Below are 24,427 nucleotides of genomic sequence, written 5' to 3' on the forward strand. Positions count from 1 at the left end.
AAAAAAAAAAAAAAAAGTGTTAGAACAGGCAAGCAGGATCAACTGATTAAGTTCACAGAAAAAAATGGGGGGATTTCCAAGTTTGTGCAGAAGGACAGCTGCAACACATTCTGCTTTGCAGTGAGGAATTCAGGGCACTCATGCTCCAGGACACCAGAACCCACAGTCCAAAGATCCCAGGATTCATGATGACCCTGTAGTGCAGGGGGTGACAGATGGCCACAAAGTGGTCATAGGCCATCACAGTCTGCAGAAATACATTCATCCCTGCAAAGAGTAGGAAAAGTTTGTGATTCTGGAAAAGTTTCTTGGGAAAGGACATGCCTTGCTTCTCGGAGACAGAAATTTGTGATCATGAAGGGACACCTGCTTCCAGGGGTCCACACGGGGAGGAGATTGCATGAGTGTCCTTCCACGTCTGCTTTATTATACTCAGGGACATCTTCTCTGTCCTCCTCTGCCTGGCTCCAAAAATTCACATTAAAAATGTTTAGACTCCTTTTATTTTATTTTATGTTCTGGGGTACATATGCAGGATGTGCAGGTTTGCTACATAGGTAAACGTGTGCCATGGTGGTTTGCTGCACCTATCAATCCATCACCTAGGTATTAAGCCCCACAGGCATTAGCTAGTTTTCCTAAGGTTCTCCCTCCCCCCCACCCCACCCCCCAACAGGGCTCAGTGTGTGTTGTTCCCCTCCTTATGTCTATATGTTCTCATTGATCAGGTCCCACTTATAAGTGAGTGCATGTGGTATTTGATTTTCTGTTTCTGCGTTAGTTTGCTGAGGGTAATGGCTTCCAGCTTCATCCACGTTCCTGCAAAAGACATGAACTTGTTCCTTTTTATGGCTGCATAGTATTTCATGGGGTATATGTACCACATTTTCTTTATCCAGTCTATCACTGGTGGGCATTTGGGTTGATTCTATGTCTTTGACATGAACAGACACTTCTCAAAAGAAGACATTCCTGTGGCCAACAAACATATGAAAAAAAGCTCAATATCATTGATCATTATAGAAATGCAAATCAAAACCACAATGAGATACCATCTCATGCCAGTCAGAATGGCAATGATTAAAAAGTCAAGAAACAGATGCTGGCAAGGTTGCAGAGAAATAAGAATGTTTTTACACTGTTAGTGGGAATGCAAATTAGTTCAACCAGTGTGGAAGACAGTGTAGTGATTCCTCAAAGATCTAGAACCAGAAATACCATTTGATCCAGCAATGCCACTACTGGGTAAATATCCAAAGGAATAGAAATCATTCTATTACCAAGATACATGCATGAGTATGTTCATTTTTAGACTCTTATAACCTGCTCTGCTATCTTTTAATCTTGGGAATATCTGTAATTCTGATAATTCTTGTTGCGTCAATTTATTTCTCCAGCTCTTCTGGAAACTCCAACTATTAATAGAAATCTTATCTTCCTCATTGCCAGAGTATAGCATGTGGTAAAAATACAAAAATAGACATGGAGAAAACTGTAGATAAAATTTATACACATTTAATTTCAACAGAAGTATGAAAGACTTTCATGTCTGTAGGGACCAGCCCTACAGGGTCTGTGGGTTTTTCTCCTCGTGTGTGGAGACAATAGATTGTAGAAATAAAGAGACAAGACAAAGAGAAGAAAAGACAGCTGGGCCTGGGGGAACACTACCACCAAGATGCGGAGACTGGTAGTGGTCCCGAATGCCTGGCTGCACTGTTTTTTATTGGATACAAGGCAAAAAGGGCAGGGTAAGGAGTGTGAGTCATCTCCAGTGATTGATAAGGTCACATGAGTCACGTGTCCACCGGACAGAGGGCCCTTCCCTGTTTGGCAGTCAGGGCAGAGAGAGAGAGAGAGAGAGAGAGCCATTATTTCTTCTATGCATTTCAAAGACTTTTAGTATTTTCACTAATTCTGTTATTGCTATCTAGAAGGCAGAGCCAGGTGTACAGGGTGGAACATGAAAGTGAAACACGGGCATGACCGCTGAAGCACAGCATCACAGGGAGACAGGCCTCCGGATGGCTGCCGGCGGGCCTGACTGATGTCAGGCCTTCCACAAGAGGTGGTGGAGCAGAGTCTTCTCTAACTCCCCCGGGGAAAGGGAGACTCCCTCTCCCGGTCTGCTAAGTAATGGGTGCCTTCCCTAGACACTGATGCTACCGCTAGGCCAAGGAGCCCTCTAGTGGCCCTATCTGGGCGTGACAGAGGGCTCACACTCTTGTCTTCTGGTCACTTCTCACCATGCCCCTTCAGCTCCTATCTCTGTATGGCCTGGTTTTTCCTAGGTTATAATTGTAGAGCAAAGATTATTATAATATTGGAATAAAGAGTAATGTACAAACTAATGATTAATGATATTCATATATAATGATATCTATAATCTACTTCTAGTATAACTATTCTTATTTTATATATTTTCTTTATTATATTGGAACAGCTTGTGCCCTCGGTCTCTTGCCTTGGCACCTGGGTGGCTAGCAGCCCACACATGTCTGTTTCTCCCTCAGGTAGATCATTTTATTTTTCATTCATTTATTACCTCCCCTATTGTCTATAGGTGGATGGTGCTTTTCCACCTTTGGCTCTGGGTCTTGACAATAATTCACTTGGGAGGAGTGTGTATCCCTAAAACGGTTGATGCACATCTTGAACATGTGACATGATTTGTCTAACAGACTGTGAGCAGTCATGACATATTTAATGCCTGTGAAGAAACTGTAAGAGGCACTGTGAGATTCCACCACTTCTCTTAATCTTCCTCTCTCAAAGTGTCCTTGCTATCCAAAATTCAAGAACCAACTAGATTTGGGCAGTCCTATGAACTGAATATTTTTATTTCCTTAAAAAACGCTTAAGTTCTAATTCCCAATGTAAAAACTTCTCTATCATAAACTCCTACAGGATGAAAAAGCATGATATTAAACCATTTATTATTGAGATGGCTTGTTACACAGCAGTAGCTTACTGATACATTAATCAATGCAAACAGAACTAGTGACATTCAGAATAATCTTCTGCCTCTTCTTTTTTCACAGTTGTTCTGATATTTCAAGAAAACATTTGTGATCACCTGGTTACTCGTGTTTATTTCAGATAACTGTATTAAAGTGAGGCAACTTTTAGATTGCCTTCGGGATAACCAGGAGAAGTTGAAAGGACATATAGGTTTTTGCAGGGATAAATTGTGACTCTAATTCACAAGTGTCTATTGACAGAGGCAATATTGGGCAGAAATTCAATGTCTTGTGTGAGTCATTATTTGACCATGAGGACCAAAGAGACTATTAAAGGAACAAAGCAAATTATGATAAATTTAATACACATATTGTTCACTTACCTACACTTTAATGCTTATGAGACAGTTTTTAAAGGAGGAGATATTTTTAGAATAATGCAAGGAGTCATATTCGTAGGGAGCAGTAGAAAATTTTAAGAGGAAAAGCAAGATGGTACATTGAAATAATACAGACCATGACACCAAATCCTTCACTCAGATGAAGAAACCTGATTACACATGGACACCAAATCTCCACACTTCCAGGACCAGATGTACATCATCAAAAACAAATATTCTATAGTCATTCAGTGCATGACTGATCATTTTATTCCATCACATTTAACATCATCTGTGACTAAGGATGTATGAGGTCAACTGACACATAAAAATGTGCCTTTCTTTGTAAACTGTATCTAAAACATGTATTTGATAAGCTGTATTTTCCTACCTACTCTTTATCTTTATCAGAAAATATAGGCACTGTTGACGTTGAGCTGAAATAGAGCATAGGACCCCAGTGAGGCGAGTAAAATCCCTTGCCTAGCTGTAAAACACACTAGTATTGAAAGGAGTTAGTTAGCTTGCCTTAGGTAGATAGCAAGATAAGGATTCCTGGAGAGCCTTTGACTCATGGGTCAGTGCCTCATCTCCATATAATATAAAAAAAAAGCCTGGGGAAAAAAAATGAAGCTGCCGGCACCAATAAGGGAAGAAGCATAGGGGATTGTGTCTGGAGACATGCCCACGGCTGCACAGATAGGAAAACTCCTGGCTCATTTAGATAAAAACTTTCACAAACCTCTGGCTCACTCAGATAAGAAACAAGGCCTGGCATAGAAATGCCTTTGTCCTTTGTATAGTCAGTGGCCTCCCAGGAAAAAGCTTTTTCTCCCTTCGTGGGCATGGACGCAGTGGGCTCTGGTGGGTTCCGGTGGGCACTCTACTTCCCTTGTTTTGGACTATAAGTCTGGTCTCTATGAATTCAGCCCCTGATTGATCCTGGGCAAAGGTCCTGGGCCAAGCTTTCTGAAAGGTCCCAGGCCAAGATCCTGAGCCAAGCTGAGTCAGCGTTCTCCAAGACAGCCTGCAGACTAAACACATTGCTTCCCCTTTCCAGTCCATAAAAACCTCAGAACGGGCCTCATAGGGGGCTTCCCATTCAGGACCCCCTCTCTGCTGGCCGAGAGCTTTCTTCTTTTCCCTCCAACCTCATCTTTGTGTCCACGCTCCTTAATGTTCTTGGAGGTAGGACGAAGAACTCTGGGTTTTATCTCAGGCGAGAGACTGTTACATGTTGGTGCATTGCTAAGACCTCAGCAGTATGTTCAAGTTGACATTTTCAGGAAGAACAGCTAAGGTTTTCATAGAAAAGGAAATAACAGACTCAGAAATAGAAAACTGTGGGCTCAGATATTCATCTACCATAAAATTATATTAATGACCTTACAGTTGCCAAGCGTAGTTAATTCTTTGGGATGAATATAACTCACCCCTGTATGAGAAAAACTTCCATTTGTTTCTGGACCTAGTTTGGATGTAATTTTAGAAAAATGACAGAGGACAAAAACAGTTGCATATCAGAGCAGAAAGCTTTATTAAGAAAAAGTGTAAATTTTCTAATGTCGTCAAGGTTAAAGAAATCTAAAGTCCAGAATATAAATACTAGGAGAAAATTCTACTTTCACAATCTGATCCATGAATCATAATTTCTGGCTAGGGGATTTAGAGCTCTGAAATCTCAAGAACTTCTGGAAAATGGCCCTCCTGTTTCTGCTCTCTGAAGAATCGATTCAGAGCTCTGTTTATGTCTTTATTCCTCAGGCTGTAGATGAAGGGGTTCAGCATGGAGGTGACCACAGTGTACATCACCGAGGCTGCAGCATTTGAGAGTGAGTTATGGGTTGCAGCAGAACTAAGGTACACACCTACGCCTGTACAATAAAATAAGGAGACAACTGAGAGGTGAGATGCACAGGTGGAAAGTGCTTTATTCATCCCCTGAGCTGATGAGATCGAACATATGCAACAAAGTATCTTAAAGTAAGTAAAATATTCCAGCGAGGCATCCCCCACCCAGCAGCACACTTGTAAAATTCATCATCATGTCATTAATAAAAGTGTCGGAACAGGCAAGGTGGATGACCTGATTAAGTTCACAGAAAAAATGAGGGATTTTCAATTCTGTACAGAAGGACAGCTGCAATGCCATTATGCTTTGTAACAGAGAATATAGGATGCTCACGATCCAGGACACCAGAACCAGCAGTCCACAGAGCCAGGAGTTCATAATGACTGTGTAGTGCAGGGGGTGACAGATGGCCACAAACCGGTCATAGGCCATCACAGTCAGGAGTAAGCTGTCCAACACTACAAAGAGTATAAAAAAGCACATCTGGGTGATGCAGTCTGCATAGGTGATGACTCTGCTCTGTGTCTGGATGTTCACCAGCATCTTTGGGACAGTGGTAGACACAAAACAGATGTCTGCAAAGGACAGGTTGGAGAGGAAGAAGTACATGGGGGTGTGGAGGTGGGAGTCTGAGATTGTGGCCAGGATGATGAGCAGGTTCCCGAGCACGGTGACCAGGTACATGGACAGAAATAGCCCAAAGAGGAAGGGCTGCAATTCTGGTTCCTCTGAAAGTCCCAGGAGAAGGAATTGTGAAATTTGTGTCTCATTCCCTGGTTTCATCTTGTTGATGTGACTTCCAAAAGAGAGAGAAAGAGAACATGACACAAGCATGCATTACAAACATATCAGAAATATTCTCACTTATATTCTACAGTCAAGAAGTTAATATGGGCTGGCTGCAGTGGCTCACGCCTGTAATCTCATCACTCGCGGAGGCCAAGGTGGACGGATCACCTGAAGTCAGGAGTTCGAGACCAGCCTGGCCAACATGGCAAAAACCGGTCTCAGCTAAAAATACAAAAAAAATTAGCCGGGCGTGCTGGCGCATGCCTGTAATCCCAGCTACTTGGGAGGCTAAGGCATGAGAATCACTTGAACCCAGGAGGTGGAGATTGTAGTGAGCCGAGATCATGCCACTGCACTCCAGCCTGGGCAACAGAGTGAGACCCTGTCTTTAAAAAATAATAATAAAATAAAATAATAAATAAATAAATAACTTCCTACAATTTAATGATGAATGAAAAATACAAGTATGTTTTTAAAATGCCATCCTCAATATCAGATGGTGATGCATCCTATGAAGAAGGAGGTTAGAAGGAAAGAGTGGATGGGGTAATAGATTTTCCAGGGTGTTCAGGCAGGACCAGCAGAGAAGGTGACAAATGAAGAGAGCCCATAATGAAGACAGGGTGGAGGGCACTACGTTCCCTGCAGAAGTTTGTGCAATGGAGCAAAATGATCAATGAAAGACCCCGAGGAATGTGCTTCTTTCAGATATTTGAGGACTGCGAAGAAGACAGTGTGGCCGGGGAATGAGCAAGAGGCGAGGGCTGTCGGAGGATGTTAGGGAAGGAAGTGTCCTCATAGCTGCTGAAATTTGAAGACACAAAGAGTCCCTCTGTCCAGATACTGATGCCTTTAATTTGGCTGCAAAGGTGTTTCATGAACTGCAATGCATGCTCATTCTGTTTACTGATATTTTCCTGAGATGTGGCCTTTATCTGATGGGTTACCTTTTGAAATATAGAGATCAGGTTCCCTATCTCTGAAACCTGTGCTCACTCTAAAGTTGTGCACCCACACACGTGCACACACACACAGAGAACGCACCCACACAGGCAGCCATGGCTTCCTGGGGCCATGTTACCCCCTCACGCTTCTCATCCCACTCACAGTATTAGAAAGGAATGGATACCAGGCAAGCTGTTAATATCAAATTATCTTTCCCCAAGAAGATACAGATATGGTACCTAGAATTTCCAGTTTGAAAACTTCTCATGCATATGGAACCTCGAGCGCCACTGCACTCCAGCCTGCGTGACAAAGCGAGACTCTGTCTCAAAAACAAACAAACAAACAAAAAACCGAGAGGCAGAGAGAGAAAATCGATTGGAACTGAAGGGAAAAATAATCTAATAAGCTCACATAGTCCCTCAGAGACCTTAAGGAAGAAAAGGCTTCCTTAGTTTTGAAAACATTCCAACTCCTCTTATATCCCTGAGGCCCAGCAAAAATCAGAAAAGACAAAGGGAAATTTACCAAATATCAAACATGGTGATATCTTTTCTGTGTCAAGATACTGATAGATTGAGAATCCCCATGGAAAAAAAAATGAGCAAATGATAAAAATCAACTATTCAAAAAGGAAATACAAAAGGAACTTCTGGGCCAGCTTATTTATTGTGCTGGGGTCTGTCCTGTGCATTGTACGATGTTTATCAGCTTCCCTGTTCTCTACTGACCCTCCCCAGGGTGACAGCCAACCCAGTCATTGCTCAATGTCCCCTGGGAGACAAAACCACCCCTGGGTAAGAACCGATTTTTAACATAAAAATCACAAAATATTTCCATACCTTTTATCAACTGAGAAAGGACAAGGGAAGATGAGCCTTAAAACAAACAAACAAACAAAAAAACCTATAGTCAAATATAAAAAGCACATGTGTTATGCATAACATACTACTCAACCTTTGTATAAACCTTTGTGTAAAGAGAAGGTTTATGAGGAACTAAAATCTTATGGAGAATAGAATATAAGTGAGGATGCTATTAGGTTAAGAACAGTTATTTCATTTTATGGCTGCATAGTATTCCATGGTGTATGTCCTTTGCAGGGACATCAATAAAGCCAGAAACCATTATCCTCAGCAAACTAACATAGGAACAGAAAACCAACCACCACACATTCTCACTTATCAGTGGGAGCTGAACAATGAGAATGCATGGACACATGGAGGGGAACAACACACACTGAGGTCTGCTGGCGGGGGGGGTGGTGGGAGGGAGAGCATTAGGAAAAATACCTAATGTATGCTGAGCTTGATACCTAGGTGATGGGTTCATAGGTGCAGCAAACCATCATGGCATACGTTTACTACCTAACAAACCTGCACATCCTGCACATGTACCCCAGAACTAAAAATTAAAATTAAAAAAGAATAGTTATTTCAAAACAGCTGCATGAATCAACATAGAAAGAAAGTCTGAAAAATCCTTATAGAAAAATATGACAGTAATAATTTACTGACATAAAGATGCACCACTAATTCACTGTGAAATCGCCTCTTGGAAATTGAAGAATATCACAGGAAAATGTTTAAAATGTGGGGAGGAAACAGTATCTAAGGTTATAATTTCGTATTATATAAACATATAAAGCTTCAAATGTTTAGGGGAGATAGATGTGAGGTTTAATCAGATGATAAGCAGCCAGATTAGGACTCCAAAAGGAAAGCATGTCCCATCAAGCCCAAGGTAGCATGTGCTGAGGAACAGTAGCAGGGGAGAAATTTACAGCTTTGTGTACCTGCTCATCAGGCAAACTTCCTCCTGTTACTCCAGCCTTGAGCACATCGTGTCCCTATGAGACATTGCTCTGCGTGGAACTTTTTTATTTTTCTTGCATTTTCTGTATCCAAGGCACCAGATTAAAAGAGAGGTGAATCCAGTTTTATTACTTCTTCACTATGGACCTGCTTGCCTTCCAGAAATGTAATCTGTTAACACTGTATCCCAACCCTGGGGGAAGGTTTTTCTCCACAGTCTAAACTGAGGAGCCTGTCTTTGATTAGATCCCTTGGATCTGCAGAGCATTGACTGTGATGGGAACACAGACATTGATATCTCCAGAGAATGACTCTTCCCCTCTTCAGCAAGGGAGTGAACTGTGTTCTCTTGATAGAAAACCATGAGTTCTGTATTGCTTGGCTTCATGATTCCTTTGGCAAAATAATGTAATTTTGCATACTTCCTTAACCATACATCTTTACCTACACAAAAAAATTAAATGTTATTCAGTAAAGTTAGCAGGAAAAAAAATCTTCCAATCCATTGTTTGAAAGAATGCAATCAACATAATAGTATAAAAAACCTCAGAAACCAGAATATAAAAGCATAGAACGTGCACAATTTGCAATGGAGAAAATGAAAGCTACTAAACCCTCAGGTAGAGTATACTCAGACTCAACAGAAAGCGAGGCTTAAAACTTAGATGACAGGTTGATACGTGCAGCAAACCACCATGGCACATGTATACCTCTGTAACAAACCTGCATGTTCAGCACATGTATCCCAGAACTTAAAGTAAAATAAATAAATACATAAATAAGAAAGTCTTTGCGATAGTTTGCTGAGAATGATGGTTTCCAGCTTCATCCATGTCCCTACAAAGGACATGAACTCATCATTTTTTATGGCTGCATAGTATTCCATGGTGTGTATGTGCCACATTTTCTTAATCCAGTCTATCATTGTTGGACATTTGGCTTGGTTCCAAGTCTTTGCTATTGTGAATAGTGCCACAATAAACATACATGTGCACATGTCTTTATAGCAGCATGATTTATAATCCTTTGGGTATATACCCAGTAATGGGATGGCTGGGTCAAATGGTATTTCTAGTTCTAGATCCCTAAGGAATCGCCACACCGACTTCCACTATTGCAAGGACAAAAACCCAAACACCTCATGTTCTCACTCATAGGTGGGAACTGAACAATGAGAACACATGGACACAGGAAGGGGAACATCACACACCGGGGACTGTTGTTGGGTGGGGGTGGGGGGCGGGGAGAGCATTAGGAGATATACCTAATGCTAAATGACGAGTTAATGGGTGCAGCACACCAACATGGCACATGTATACATATGTAACAAACCTACACGTTGTGCACATGTACCCTAAAACTTAAAGTATAATAATAAAAAAAAAGCAGAAAAAAAAGAAAGTCATGGCAAGTAAAAACTCTTTAGTGTTCCCATTTTGACGATAAAATAACATTTATTTTATTCAGGTGAATATTTAGCAAGAGAGAGAAGATACTGTGAAATGTCTGTCTTGTGAACTACTGTTGCAAGGTAGTATTTGTAAGCAGCCCGTTGGTCTAGATCTTTCTAATGAATACAGAAACATGCTCCAATACACTCATCTTAATTTTAAAAATAAACCCTCAATTCATTGCACATCCACCCACACCTAATATTCTACATTCTACTCTCCTACTTCTTTTTTTGTGTGTTTGTTTGTTTTTGAGACAGAGTTTCTCTGTTGTGCCCACGGCATGATCTCAGCTAACTGCAACCTCCACCTCCTGGGTTCAAGCGATTCTCCTGCCTCAGCCTTTCAAGTAGCTGGGACTACAGGTGTGTGTCACCACACCCAGCCAATTTTGTATTTTTAGTAGAAGATGGGGTTTCACCATGTTGGTCAGATTGGTCTCGAACTCCTGACCTCAGGTGATCCGCCTGCCTCGACCTCCCAAACTGCTGGGATTACAGGTGTGGGTCACCGTGCCTGGCCCCTTTCCTACTTCTTTAACTGCAAACCTCCTAGGTTCTAACTTCACTGGAACCACTTTATGTCTTCCATTCCTTCTTCAATCTCATCCAATTGAACCTCCATATCCCTCAATTAATTGTCAACAACAATCCCTGCATTGCTGAGTCTTACAGACACATTTTAACATATAAAATAAATAAATTATAAATTAGTCAACCAGGCAAACAAACACACATGAATCTCTCACCTGGCTTGATACTAGGTGACCTCAGGTAAACATTCTTGGCTTCCATTCTCTTTGAACATTTCCTGCAGTACTTTCTGGGGTCTCAGACGCACCTGTATGGGGTCTCAGAGATGAAGGTCTCTGTGTGGAAGTTGAAATTCCTCCCTGGGTAGTTGATGATGCAGACTGAAGCTCTGTCTCCAGACAGACAGAAGGGAAGAGTTAAGCATCAGCCACACAGCCAGACTTAGGACTACAAAAGAATCAACCACATCCCATCCAGCCCAGGGTTGTCTAATCCCAGAGACAATAGCAGATGAAATATTTACAGCTCCTAATATCTGCTAGCGAGATATATTTCCCTGTTGCTACTCTAAGCCTGGAGCACCTGATTTCCCTGTGGAACACTGATGTGGAAAGAAAGAACAATTTCCTGCTGATTCTCTGTTCCCAAGAGAATCAAGTTAGAAGTCATGTGAATCCAGTCTTCATTACTCCTTCTCTTTGAACTCTGTACCTTCCAGAGGTCTAAGTGCCATTGCACCTTTTCACAGCCCTCAATTAAAATGTTATCCAAAGTGTAAGGCTGAGTACATGGTCTTTACTAGATCCCTTGGATATTCAAATCATTGACTTGTGGTTGGAACACAGCTGCCGACATCTCCAGACCAACGCTCTTTCCTCATCAAAAGGGAGAGAACTGTGTTTATTTGTCATAAAGCCACGGGTATTTACTACAGTCCTTGGCTTCCTGATGCTTTTGACAAAGCAATGAGCAGTTTCTTGCTTGTAAACACACAAGCATCAAAGTACAACTTATCATTCAGTCCTTCCTTTATAAAACATTTGGTAATCATAAGAGATATACTTAAACCTTTGTAGACATCATGGAATAAGTTAAAATCTTATATGGTTTGTCTCATTTAATATCACATGTAATGTGTCTCATTTTTATACATCTTTGTTCTATGAGGTCCAACGATTAGACGCCTCTTTCTGCACTTTTAGGATTTTGGTTAAGGTGAGTTAGTGACCTGCCCAAAGTTATGAACCAAGTAAGGGAAGGGATTTGATCAGAATGCCATCCAAATGTTTCCAGTTGTCACATCTAGGTTACTGACTTTTCTTTTCTTTACTTTTTTCTTTTCTATTTTCTTTCTTTTTTTTTTTTTTTTGAGACAGAGTTTCACTCTTGTCACCCAGGCTGGAGTGCAATGGTGCGATCTCTGCTCACTGAAATCTCTGCCTCCTGGGTTAAAGTAGTTTTCCTGCCTCAGCCTCCAGGGTAGCTAGGATTACAGGCATGTGCCACCATGCCTGGGTAATTTTTGTATTTTTAGAAGAGACAGGGTTTCACCATGTTGGGTAGACTGGTCTCCAACTCCTGACCTCAAATGATCCACCCACCTCAGCCTCCCAAAGCGCTAGGACTACAGGCATGAGCCACCGTACCGGGCCAGGTTGCTGATTTTCAACCAGGGGTGTTTGTGCTCCAGGAATATTAGGAAATGTTTGGATACACTTTTGGTTGTCACATGTGGGGAAGTGCTACTTACTGGCACATTGTAGATTGAAGCCGGGGAAGCTGCCCAACAACCTACAATGCACAGGACAGCCCACAGCAGAAAGAATTAATGCAAACAAATGTGGACACTGGGGAGGCTGAGACTATTCCAGTCCAGAACTTCCCTAATTTCACTGTATATATGAATCACCTAGGGTTCTTGTTCAAATGTCGATTCTAATTTCAGACATCTAGGACTGGTCCCAACATTTTATACTTTTGACAGTTTTCCTGTTGGTGTTGATGCTATTCATCCTGTTCTGCGGAACACTCTTTGGGGATCGAGGCTGTGGTCAGTGTTAAAGGCAGGTATACATATTTTGAGGCTTTTTCTACCAAGAATCCTACCCTGCTCCTCATGTCTGGTTTAGGAGGTCAAATGTTGGACTCGGTAGCTCAGCTTTTGCATAATCGAGTTTACTTACGCGTAAGTCTTGAACACTTACGGAATGACAGGAAATGAAACTTCTAGAAGTTCCACTTACCTTATGAAGTTTAGGTGAGAAGGAGTAAGACTTCAAAGCCCATTGGAAGTTACTTGGCGCAGAGCAGGTGTTCAATGGATAGCAGATATTTGGACCATGTCCTAGTTTCCCAGTTACTCTGCTCATTGTGACACCAGAAAGGTTTCTTGCTACAGTCTAGCACTGTCCTGCTTTGAGGAGACAGCAAGTTGTGATCATGAAGGGAGACCTCCTTCCAGGGCCCTGCACAAGGAGGAGAGTGCCTGAGAGTCTATCATTCTATGCTTTGTTGACATAAAATCATTCATCATTGTCTCTGTCACCCTCATGCTGGCTCCAAATACTCACAGTAGATATGTCTGACTCTTTAACTATCTTCTACTTTTGAGAATATCTGTAAAGCTGATGTTTCTTAGTGTATCAAATTATCCACCTAATCTTCTAGGAGCTCCTCCAACTCTTCATGGAAATCTTATCTTCCTGGCTTCTAGGTGATAGCATGTAATTCATACATATTTAATGTATACTGAAGTATAAAATGCTTGCATGTCTGTTTTTCTCCCAGTAGATAATTATTTTCCACTTATTTATTAACTCTTAGATAATTAGACACCTCTTTCTGTATTTTTGTGTTGCCTTTCTATGTTGCCTTTAGGAGGATCAGTCTTCTCCACCTTTGGCTCTGGATTTTGATGATGCCTCAACTGGGAGAAGTGTAACACCTACGATGATTGAGACATTCTTTGTCTGATAGGATGTGAGTGGTCATGAGATGTTCAATCTGTGAGAAGAAGCTGTAAGAGGCATTGTGAGATGACACCACTTCTGTTGCTCTTCCTCTTTCAAATTGTCCTTGCTCTATTATTTAAAAGTCCAATAATAACAAATGCTGGTGAGAGTCTGGAGAAAAGGAAATACTTCCACACTGCTTTTGGGAATGTAGATTAGTTCAGCCATTGTGGAAAGCAGTTTCACAGTTCTCAAAGACCTTAAAACAGGATTACCACTTCACTCAGAAATTCTATTATTGGATATATACCCAAAGGAATGTAAATCATTCTACTATAAAGACATATGCATACATATGTTCATCACAGCACTATTCACAATAGCAAAGACATGGAATCAACCTGAATGTCCATCAATAGTAGACCGAATAAAGAAGATGTGGTACTATACAACATAGAATACTACAGAGTCATCAAAAAGAATGAGACTGTGTCCTTTGCAACAACGTGGTTGGAGCTGGAGGCCATAATTCTTAGCAAACTAACGTAGGAACAGAAAACCAAATACCACATATTCTCATTTACAAGTGGGAGCTAAATAATGAGAACACATGGACACAAAGAGGGGAACAACAGATACTGGGGCCTCCTTGAGTGTTGAGGGTGGTAGGAGGGTTAGGATAAAAAAAACTATGTATCAGGTATGCTTATTAAGCGGGTGACAAAATACTCTGTACACCAAACCCTCACAACAAACAGTTGGCTTATATAGCAAACCTGCACATGTACCCCTGAACCTAAAATAAAAGTTAAAAAAAGATTGTCCTTACTGCCCAACATTCAAGAGCTAATTAAGCTTGGATAGTCCTATGGCTGAATATTTTTGTCTTGTCCAGGATATATATGTCCTAATCCCCAATGAGAAAACTTCCACAATGTAGACTCTGATGTGATTTTTTAAAAGCATGACTTTAAATCATTTATTATTGGGATGTTTTGTTACACAACATTAGATTACTGATACAATAATCAAAGCAACATAACTAAAGATATTCAGAATTATCTTTTTTTAGGTGTCAGATCCTTTTGTTTTTTAGTTTTTTATTGGATTCACTGTATACAGAATATTCTGTTGGCTCTTTTTTTTTGGTGCTTTTTCTGATATCAGAAAGCAGTGTTCATAATTATATGGATATTTATATTTACTTCACATAACTGTATCATAGGATGACTACTTTTAGATTTCCTCTAGGTAACCAGAAGAGTTTGGCAGGACATGTATATTTTTGCTGAAACAAATTGCAACCTGGAATCTCAAGTCTCTAATCTCACATGCAATACTGGGAAGAAATTCAAGCTCTTATGTGAGTCATCATTAGAGAGTTTGGAGTATAAAAGAGATAAAGCAAGTGATGATACAGTAAATACACATATCCTTCACTTACCTCCAGTTTAATGCTTGTGACATAATTTATTAAAGGGAGTGATAGTTTTAGAACAATGCAAGAAGTCATATTTGTAGCACTGGAAACTTTTAATCAGAAACAGAAAGATGATGCAATCAAATAATGTAGATCATGACACCAAATCCTTTACCTAAATGAACAAACCTCATTACCCATGGACAACAAGCTTCCACCCTTTAATGAGTTGTATTAGTCCGTTTTCACACTGCTGATAAAGACATACCCAAGACTGGGTAATTTATAAAGAAAAAGAAGTTTAATGGACTCACAGTTCCACGTGGCTGGGGAGGCCTCACAATCACAGCAGAAGGCCAAAGGCATGTCTTGCATGGCGGCGGGCAAGAGAGCATATGCAGGGGAACTCCCCTTTATAAAACCATCAGATCTCATGAGACTTATTCACTGCCATGTGAACAGCATGGGAAAGACCTGCCCCAATGATTCAATTACCTCCCACCGGGTCCCTCCCATGACACAAGGAAATTATGGGAGCTACAATCAAGGTGAGATTTGGGTGGAGACACAGACAAACCATATCACACACCATCAAAAACAAATCTTCCACGATAATCACTGCATGACTGAAAATTTTAGTCCATCATATTTAAGGTCGTCTCTGAATCTGAGGCCATATGAAGTCAATTGATTCATGCAAATGTGTCTTTCTGTGTAGACTACACTAGGAACATGTATGTTATAAGTAATATTCGCCTTCCTCCTCTTTACCAGGGAATATAGTAGGCAGTGTAGACACTGAGCTGGATAGCAGACAGGATCCTAATGAGGAGAATAAAATGCCATGATGATTATAAACACACCAGCATGGTCAAGTTTACATAATCAGGAAGAACAGTAAAGGTAGTAAGAAATGAAGGACTCAGAAGTAAAAAACTGTGATCTCAGATATTCATCTATAATATGATTATACCAATGACCTTACATTTGCCAAGTGCAATTGATTTTTTAGGACTGATACAACTCTCTAGTGTATTAGACAAATAGGAATCTCCAAAAGTGTTTTACCCTAGTTTGGAAATAACTATGGGAAATTAGGAAAATGACAAACAAAAAGTAAGTTGGATATCAGAGCAGAAAGCTTTCTAAAGAAATAGCATAAGTCTGACACAGCACTTGAGAACAAGGAAATTAAAACTCTAGAAACTGAATAGAAGCAGAACATTCTCTTTCCCTCCTTCCATGATCTGATTCGTGAATCACAATGTTTGAGTTCGGTTAGAGCTTTGAAATCACATGTACTTCTTGAAAGATGCTCATTTTATTTCTTCCTTCTGAAGAATTGTTTTAGAGCCCCCTTTATGTCTTTATTCCTCAGACTGTAGATGAAGGGGTTCAGCATGGGGGTGACCACAGTGTACATCAGAGGCTGTTGCACTTGAGAGTGAGTTGTGGGTTGCAGCAGCACTAAGGTACACCCCAAGGCTCATACAATAAAATAAGGAGACAACTGAGAGGTGCGATGCACAGGTGGAAAATGCCTTGTACTTCCCCTGAGCTGATGAGATTGCACGTATGGAGGAAACTGTCTTAAAGTAAGAGTACAGGATCCCAGTGAAACATCCCCTACCTAGAAGCACAGCTGACAAATACATCACCATGTCATTAAGAAAGGTGTCAGAACAGGCACTGCGGATTATCTGATTAAGTTCACAGAAAAAGTGGGGGATTTTCAAGTCTGTACAAAAGAGCAGTGGCAACACCATTAAGCTTTCTATCAAGGAATTCAGGGCACTCATGATCCAGGACGCCAGAACCAGCAGTCCACAGAGCCGAGGGTTCACGATGACCGTGTAGTGCAGGGGGTGACAGATGGCCACAAACTGGTCATAGGCCATCACGGTCAAGAGTAAGCTGTCCAACACTATAAAGAGTACAAAAAAGTACATCTGGGTGATGCAACCTGCATAGGTGATGACTTTACTCTGTGTCCGGATGTTTGACAGTGTCTTTGGGACTGTGGTGGAGGTAACACAGATGTCTACAAAGGACAGGTTAGAGAGGAAGAAGTACATGGGGGTGTGGAGGTGGGAACCAGAGCAGATGGCCAGGATGATGAGCAGGTTTCCAAACACAGTTGTCAGATACATGGAGAGGAAGAGTCCAAACATAACGGGCTGCAATTCTGGTTCCTCTGAAAGTCCCAGAAGAAGAAATCCTAAAATCCTCGTACCATTCTCTGGTTCCATGTGGTTGAGGTGACTACCAGTCAGAGAAAGAGAACATGACCAATTTTTACTCAAAAGGGCATCACTCACATTGTTGAAAGACAACCAGTTATATTTTGCAGCCAAGACATTAATTTCTATATTTTGTGTATGGAACTTTTCCCAGTTTCTGTGCTCCTCAGAGCTGTCTCTGATTGAAAATTCTTGTGCTATTCTCAACCTTTCCCTAAGAGGTTGTATATTCTTTAATGAGAAATTCTTCTACGCACTTGTGTAATATTGATTGTATGCTGACCATGTTCCAGGAACTGTCTAGGTAATGAGTGTAGGGTGCAGAGAAACTGATAACCTTACTATCCAATGATGGAGAAAGACAATGAGCTGATAAAGACATCATCATCTGTTGCGTTAGATGGTGCTTAGAAGAAAATGAAAGCACATTAAAGAGAATGGAGAGGGGTTGCTATTTTTTATGAGTGTACAGGCAAGACCAGCAGACAAGGTGACATTTGAACAGAGACCTCAAGGAAGAGGCGGTTGGGAGCCCAGAGGATATTTGGCGAAGTCTGTGCCTGACAGAGGGAATGACTAATGCAAAGGCCTGAGGAAGGTGCTTGTTTCGGAAAATCAAGGCTCAAATAGAAGCCAGCGTGTTGAGGGCAATGAGAAGGAGGGAGAGTGATCAGAGATGGTGTCAGGAGTATTGAGGAACCAGGTGGTCTCCCTGCTGCTGTTGAAACTTCAAGACACTGACAGCCTCGTCTCCCCATGTGGTTCTGAGCCCTCTATTAATGTGGCCCCCTAAGGACGTAAACAGGGCAGCAAATTCCAGCCCAAAAGCTTCCCATGCACATGTAAATGTGGGGCTCCATTTTATATCATCACTTTGTGCCTGGTATTTAACAAAATACATGAGAATTTGCTGAATAAACAAAGAGATGCATGAAATAGGCATGATGTACACAGGTGGTTGATGAGAGACTGTGACGAAAACAGCTTCCTCGTTTCTGGCAATGTTCAATCCTGGTTATAGACCCCGATGCCCAGAATAATTCATAATTAATAAAAGTGATATCTTTATAGGGTCAAGACATCTTACAGATTGAAGACCCCAAGAGAAAATGAAGAAAGGGAATAAACCCACACTTCACAAAAGGAATCACACAAAGTCCAACAAAAGCGGGGGGCGGTTAAAGATGCAATTGTGAAAGACATGTGTAAATTGTAGTAAATGCAAAGCAATGTATGTAAAAAACTTGGCATGTCTCATTTTTGTTCTTAAATGAATGGTTATCACTGGTGATGAGATGAGACTGATGTTGCTCTTCCACCTCTCATTTACCTGTTTTGTAATGTGAAACATCTATCATCACAAAAAAAAGTTTGGAGTTTTGCATCTACTCTGTACCTGCTGTTGGACCTTGAAAAGCCTATAAAGTCATTCTAAATTTTTAAAAATTTTTTATAAATACATAATAGTTGCACATATTTATGGGGTACATGTGATACTTTGATATAAGCATACAACGCATAATGATCAAATATGGGTAACTGGCATACCTGCCCTCTCAAACATTTATCATTTCTTTGTATTGGAAACACTCGTATCTTCTCTTCTAGCTATTTGGAAATATATAATAAATTATTAAGTATAGTCATTCTATTGTGCTGTGGAACAGTAGATCTTATTCCTTTCATCTAACTGTAGAACTTATTCCTTTCATCATCAAAAAGCATACACATAGACCAATGGAACAGAAGAGTAAACCCAGAAATAAATTCATGCATTTACAGCCAACTCATTTTTGACAAAGGTGCCAAGAACACACATTGGAAAAAGACAAGCTCTTCAATAAATGGTGGTAGGAAAACTGGATATCCACATTCAAGAGAAATGGAATTAGATCCCTATCTGTCACTACATAGAAAAATAATTTTAAAATAGAAAAAAAGACATAAATGAAAGGCTCAAAACTATGAGATTCATAGAATAAAACATAAGGGAAATTCATGGCATTGATCTAGGCAAGTAATTTTTTTGCATTTTTAAATTTATTATTGCTATTTTTAAAAATTGTCATTTTTATTGTGGGTACATAGAAGGCATGTATATTTCTGGAGTACATGGGATGTTTTAATACAGCTATATGATTCATATCAATCACATCAGGATAACTGGGGTATCCATTGCCTCAAGCATTTATCAATCCCTTGTGTTAGAAACATTCCAATTCCACTCCTTTAATTATTTCAAAATATACAATAAATTATTGTTGACTACAATCCCCTTGTTGTGTTATTAAATATTAGATCTTGGCCAGGCACGGTGGCTAATACCTCTAATCCCGGCACTTTGGAAGGCTGAGGCAGGCAGATCGCTTGAGGTCAGGAGTTCGAGACCAGCCTGGTCAGCATGGTGAAACCTGTCTCTACTAAAAATACAAAAATTAGCCAGGCGTGGTGGTGCATGCCTGTAATCCCAGCTACTCGGGAGGCTGAGGCACAAGAATCGCTTGAACTCAGGAAGCAGAGGTTGCAGTGAGCTGAGATCATGCCACTGCTCTCCAGCCAGGGTGACAGAGCCAGATTCCATCTCAAAAAAAAAAAAAAAAAAAAAAGGATCAAAACGAACAAATGCTAACAAGGATGCGGAGAAAAAGGAAGTCTTTTTCTTTTTCTTTTTTAACAAGAGACAGGACCACACTGTGTCACCCAGGCTGGAATGCAGTGGCTCAATCATAGCTCACTGCAACCTTCAACTGGGCTGAAGCAATCCTTCAACGTCAACCTCCTGAGTAGCTTGGACTGCAGTCATGCACCACCACACCCAGCTAATTAAAACAATTTTTTTTAGAAAAGAAGTCTCATTATGTTGTCCAGGCTACTCTCAGTCTGGCCTCAAGCAGCCTCCCGCCTCAGTCTATCCAGTTGCTGGGATTATATCTATAAGCCACCAGGCCTGGCTAAGAAAGAGAAGCTCTTGTACATTGTTGCTGGAGTGAAATTTAGTACACTTATTATGAGAAACAGGATGGAAATTCCTCAAAAAAATAAAAATGCAACTACCACATAATCCAACAATTCTACTACTGGGCATTAATCAAAAAAAAAAAATGAAAAGAGTGTATCAAAGAGATATCTGCACTATTCACTCTTTTTTTTTTTTTTGAGATGGAGTTTCACTCTTTCACCCAGGCTGGAATGAAGTGGCGTGATCTCAGCTCACTGCTACTTCCATCCCCCGGGTTCAAGTGATTCTCCTGCCTCAGCCTCCTGAGTAGCTGGGATTATAGGTGTGTGCCACCACGCCCAGCTAATTTTTCTATTTTTAGTAGAGACGGGGTTTCTCCATTTTGGCCAGGCTGTTCCCAAACTCCTGACCTCAGGTAATCCATCCGCCTTGGCCACCCAAAGTGCTGGGATTACAGGCGTGAGCCACCGTGCCCGGCCTGATAAGCTACACTATTCACAATAGCCAAGGTATGAAGTCAAAGTGTCCATCAATGAATGGACTTTTAGAAGTAATATACATAGACAGTGGAATGCTGTTCAGCCCAAAAAAGAAGGAAATCTTATCATTTGTGACGATATGGATGAACCTGGAGAACACTGTGTTAAGTGAAATAAACCAGACACAGAAAGACAAATTCCTCATGGTCTCATTCATATGTGGAATTTTAAAAGTCGATCCGATAGAAATATCAATTAGAATGGTGGTTACTAGAGGCTGGGGCAGTTGAGGGAGAAGGGGTATGAAGTTTTTTGTTGAAGGATACACAATTGCACTTAGGAGAAATAAATTGAAGAGATCTGTTGTAAAGCACACTGACTATTTGATGATGATATATTGTATTCTTGAAAAACGCTAAGACAGTAGGTTTTTGTTTGTTTTGAGACAGAATTTTGCTCTTGTTGGTCAGGCTGGAGTGCGATGGCACGATCTCGGCTCACTGTGACATCTGCCTCCCAGGTTCAAGTGATTCCCCCGCCTCAGCCTACCGAGTAGCTGGGATTACAGGCACCCACCACCACGCCCAGCTAATTTTTGTATTTTTAGTAGAGAGGGGGGTTTCACCATATTGGTCAGGCTCGTCTCGAACTCCTGACCTCAGGTGATTCACCCGCCTTGGCCTCCCAAAGTGCTGGGATTACAGGCGTGACCCACAGCACCTGGCCTAAGACAGTAGATTTTAAGTGTTCTCACCACACACACACACACACACACACACACACACACACAAACTAGGTGAGGTAATGTGTATAGTAGTTAGCTAGCTTTAATCATTCCACAATGTATATATACTTCAAAACATCATGCTGTACACAATAAATACATAAAATTGTATCTGTCAATTTTAAAAATAAATAAATAACTTTGTAAACTTAAGATGATCCTTATAAGGTGCTAATCTCAGGGCAGCTTGCATAAAAGGGTCTTAATATATCTCATAATTACCAAATGTTTTATACTTGGAGGATAAAATAATAGTTCTTAACCTGGGTTATAAGTATGAAATGTCTCATTGTTCTGGCTAAAGCATGATGCAATCAGACAAGTAGTAACCACGCTTTTAAATCAAGAGAACACAGTTCACCTCTTGCTGAAGAGGGGAATAGCAATTTTCCAGAGATATCAAGGGCTGTGCTCCCAGCAAAAGTCAATGCTTTGTAGATCTAAGGGACCTAGCCAAAACAGCTTCCTTTGTTTCGACTTTGGAGAAAATGTTCCCTCAGGGTTATGGTAATATAAGAGGAGGTTAGAACTCTGGAACTCAGGCCAGTCGATAGAGAAGGAGAAATAAAGGCTGGATGCACCTCATGTTTAATCAGGTGTCTTGGGAACAGAGGATGCAGGAACAAATATATATATATATATATATATATATATATATATATATATATATATATACAAAAATATATATAAATATATATAAACAAAAATATATAAATATAAATAAATAAATATATATATCTATATATATACACACACACACACTATATACTATATACACACACATATATCTTTCAGTGCCAGGCAATGTCCTATGGGGATGTGAGTGGTCAGGGTTGGAATAACAGGAGGAAATGTGCCAAATGAACAGATATACAAAGCTCTAAATATCTCCTCTGCGTTGGCCCTCAGCAAATGCAACCTTGGCCTGAATGGGACATGCTTGTTTCTTTTGGAGTCCTCCGACTTGGGGACTGATGCTTTGCTTTCTGCTGCTGTCTGGTCTCAGGACAGCTTCCGTCTCCATCATCAACAATCCAGGGAGGAATTTGCACCTCCTCATGGAGGCCTTCCTTTCAGAAAACTCAGCAAGGTGAGTCCAATAGCCTCAGCTGGTACCAGTAGGTACCGTAGGAAATGTAGCTAACTACTATACACTTGACCTTACCTAGGTTTTTTTTGTTTTTTTTTTTTTTTTTTTCTGTTGAGAACACTTAAAATCTACTTCTTAGGCCAGGTGCGGTGGCTCACACCTGTAATCCCAGCACTTTGGGAGGACAAGGCAGTTGAATCACCTGAGGTCAGGAGTTCGAGACCAGCCTTGCCAACATGGTGAAGCCCACCACCGTCTACTAAAAATACAAAAATTAGCTGGGGCGTGGTAATGTGCTCCAGTAATCTCAGCTACTCGGGAGGCTGAGGCGGTACCAGTAGGTACCATAGGAAAGGGTCAGAGAGAATGGCAGCTATGACCATGGACCTGAGGTCACCTGAGAGCCAGTCTAGACTAGCCCTGAGCAGAGAAACTTCTGCGATCATTTGTCTGCTTGCTTGATTCATTTATTCATGTATTTGTTTATGATACTAAAAAGAAAAGTGAATATTGAGCTCAGAATTGAAGAGTGATTATTGAAAGTTAAGTAAGGGTAACGGAAGCCCAGTTGGAAGGGGACATGGGAGATTTAAAGTGGCTCCAGTAAAAGTAGAACATTTGCCCTAGCATTTTTGCAATTAAATGGAGAAGAGAACTAGGCTATTAGCTGTGAAGGGAGATACACTGAAGTGAGGGCGTGCCTTTTTTAGGTTTAAGAAGAGACATATTTGAGGATGTTTTCACATTGATGAGAAAGGTCTAAACCAATGAATTGCTTCCAAATGCTACCTGACCACAGCAGTTTATGAGACAAACATCTTGCAGTGTCTTCTCTCATGCTGTTCATTCAAATGAAAGTTTAGAAGTTATTCAGTAAATGAAAAGTGATATACTAACAACACTAACTTTGCAATTCTCTCCTCACTTGTGAGGCTAAATATATTTCTGTGTTTGTTAGACATTTACCAACTCTATTGCAAATTATCTGTGCATGTTCTTTGCTTTTGTTTTTGTTTTGTTTTCTGTTTTTGTTTTTGTTTTGTTTTGTTTTTGAGACAGGGTCTCACTGTGTTGCCCAGGCCGGAGTGCAGTGACATGATCTCTGCTCACTGCAGCCTCTGCCTCCTGTGTTCAAGCGATTCTCCTGCCTCAGCCTCCTGAGTAGCTGGTATTACAGGCTCATGCCACCACACTCAGCTTATTTTTGTGTTGTTAGTAAAGACGGGGTTTCACCATGTTGCCCAGGCTGGTCTCAAACTTCTGACCTCAAGTGATCTGCCCACCTCAGCCTTCCAAAGTGTGGGATTCCAGGAGTGAGCCACCATGCCCAGCCTTGTTCTTTGCTTTTGTATGATGGGTTTGTAATGTTCTTATTCCTATTTTTATTGCATTTTTGAAATAAAAATTGGAGTTGTTTTCACCGATGTTGGCATTTGTCATGTCATTCTTTTATATATGTATCAGTGCATTTGAGAGGAATGTGTGAAAGGTCTTTTTTTTGTTTTTTCTTTTTTTTGAGATGGAGTCTCACCCTGTCACCCAAGCTGGAGTGCCGTGTCGCGATCTCGGCTCGAGTAGCTGGGATGACAGGCACGTGCCACCACGCCCTGCTAATGTTTTGTATTTTTAGTAGAGACAGGGTTTCACCATGTTAGCCAGGATGGTCTCAATCTCCTGACATCAGTTTATAAAGCTGATGTAGCCAAATCCATCCATTGGTCATAGTGTGTCCCCTCGTTGCTTTGTAAATGCAGAAAGCTCTGTATCATTTTGCCAGATA

General features: G+C 40.8%; 3 pseudogenes, besides 1 other annotated feature; all 3 read right to left on the reverse strand.

The window, feature by feature from the left end:
• OR7A18P (olfactory receptor family 7 subfamily A member 18 pseudogene) lies at positions 17–443 on the reverse strand (annotated as a pseudogene).
• Positions 1,997–2,056: an enhancer, noted in NCBI's record as "active region_14180". NCBI's record gives its function as "activates an Ori minimal core promoter by ATAC-STARR-seq in GM12878 lymphoblastoid cells {active_cell/tissue: GM12878}" and the evidence as "EXISTENCE:reporter gene assay evidence [ECO:0000049][PMID:35858748]".
• On the reverse strand, positions 5,030–5,975 carry OR7A1P (olfactory receptor family 7 subfamily A member 1 pseudogene; annotated as a pseudogene).
• On the reverse strand, positions 16,498–17,144 carry OR7A3P (olfactory receptor family 7 subfamily A member 3 pseudogene; annotated as a pseudogene).

The sequence above is a fragment of the Homo sapiens genome, chromosome 19 (genome assembly GCF_000001405.40).
Source record: "Homo sapiens chromosome 19, GRCh38.p14 Primary Assembly".
Taxonomy (NCBI): domain Eukaryota; kingdom Metazoa; phylum Chordata; class Mammalia; order Primates; family Hominidae; genus Homo; species Homo sapiens.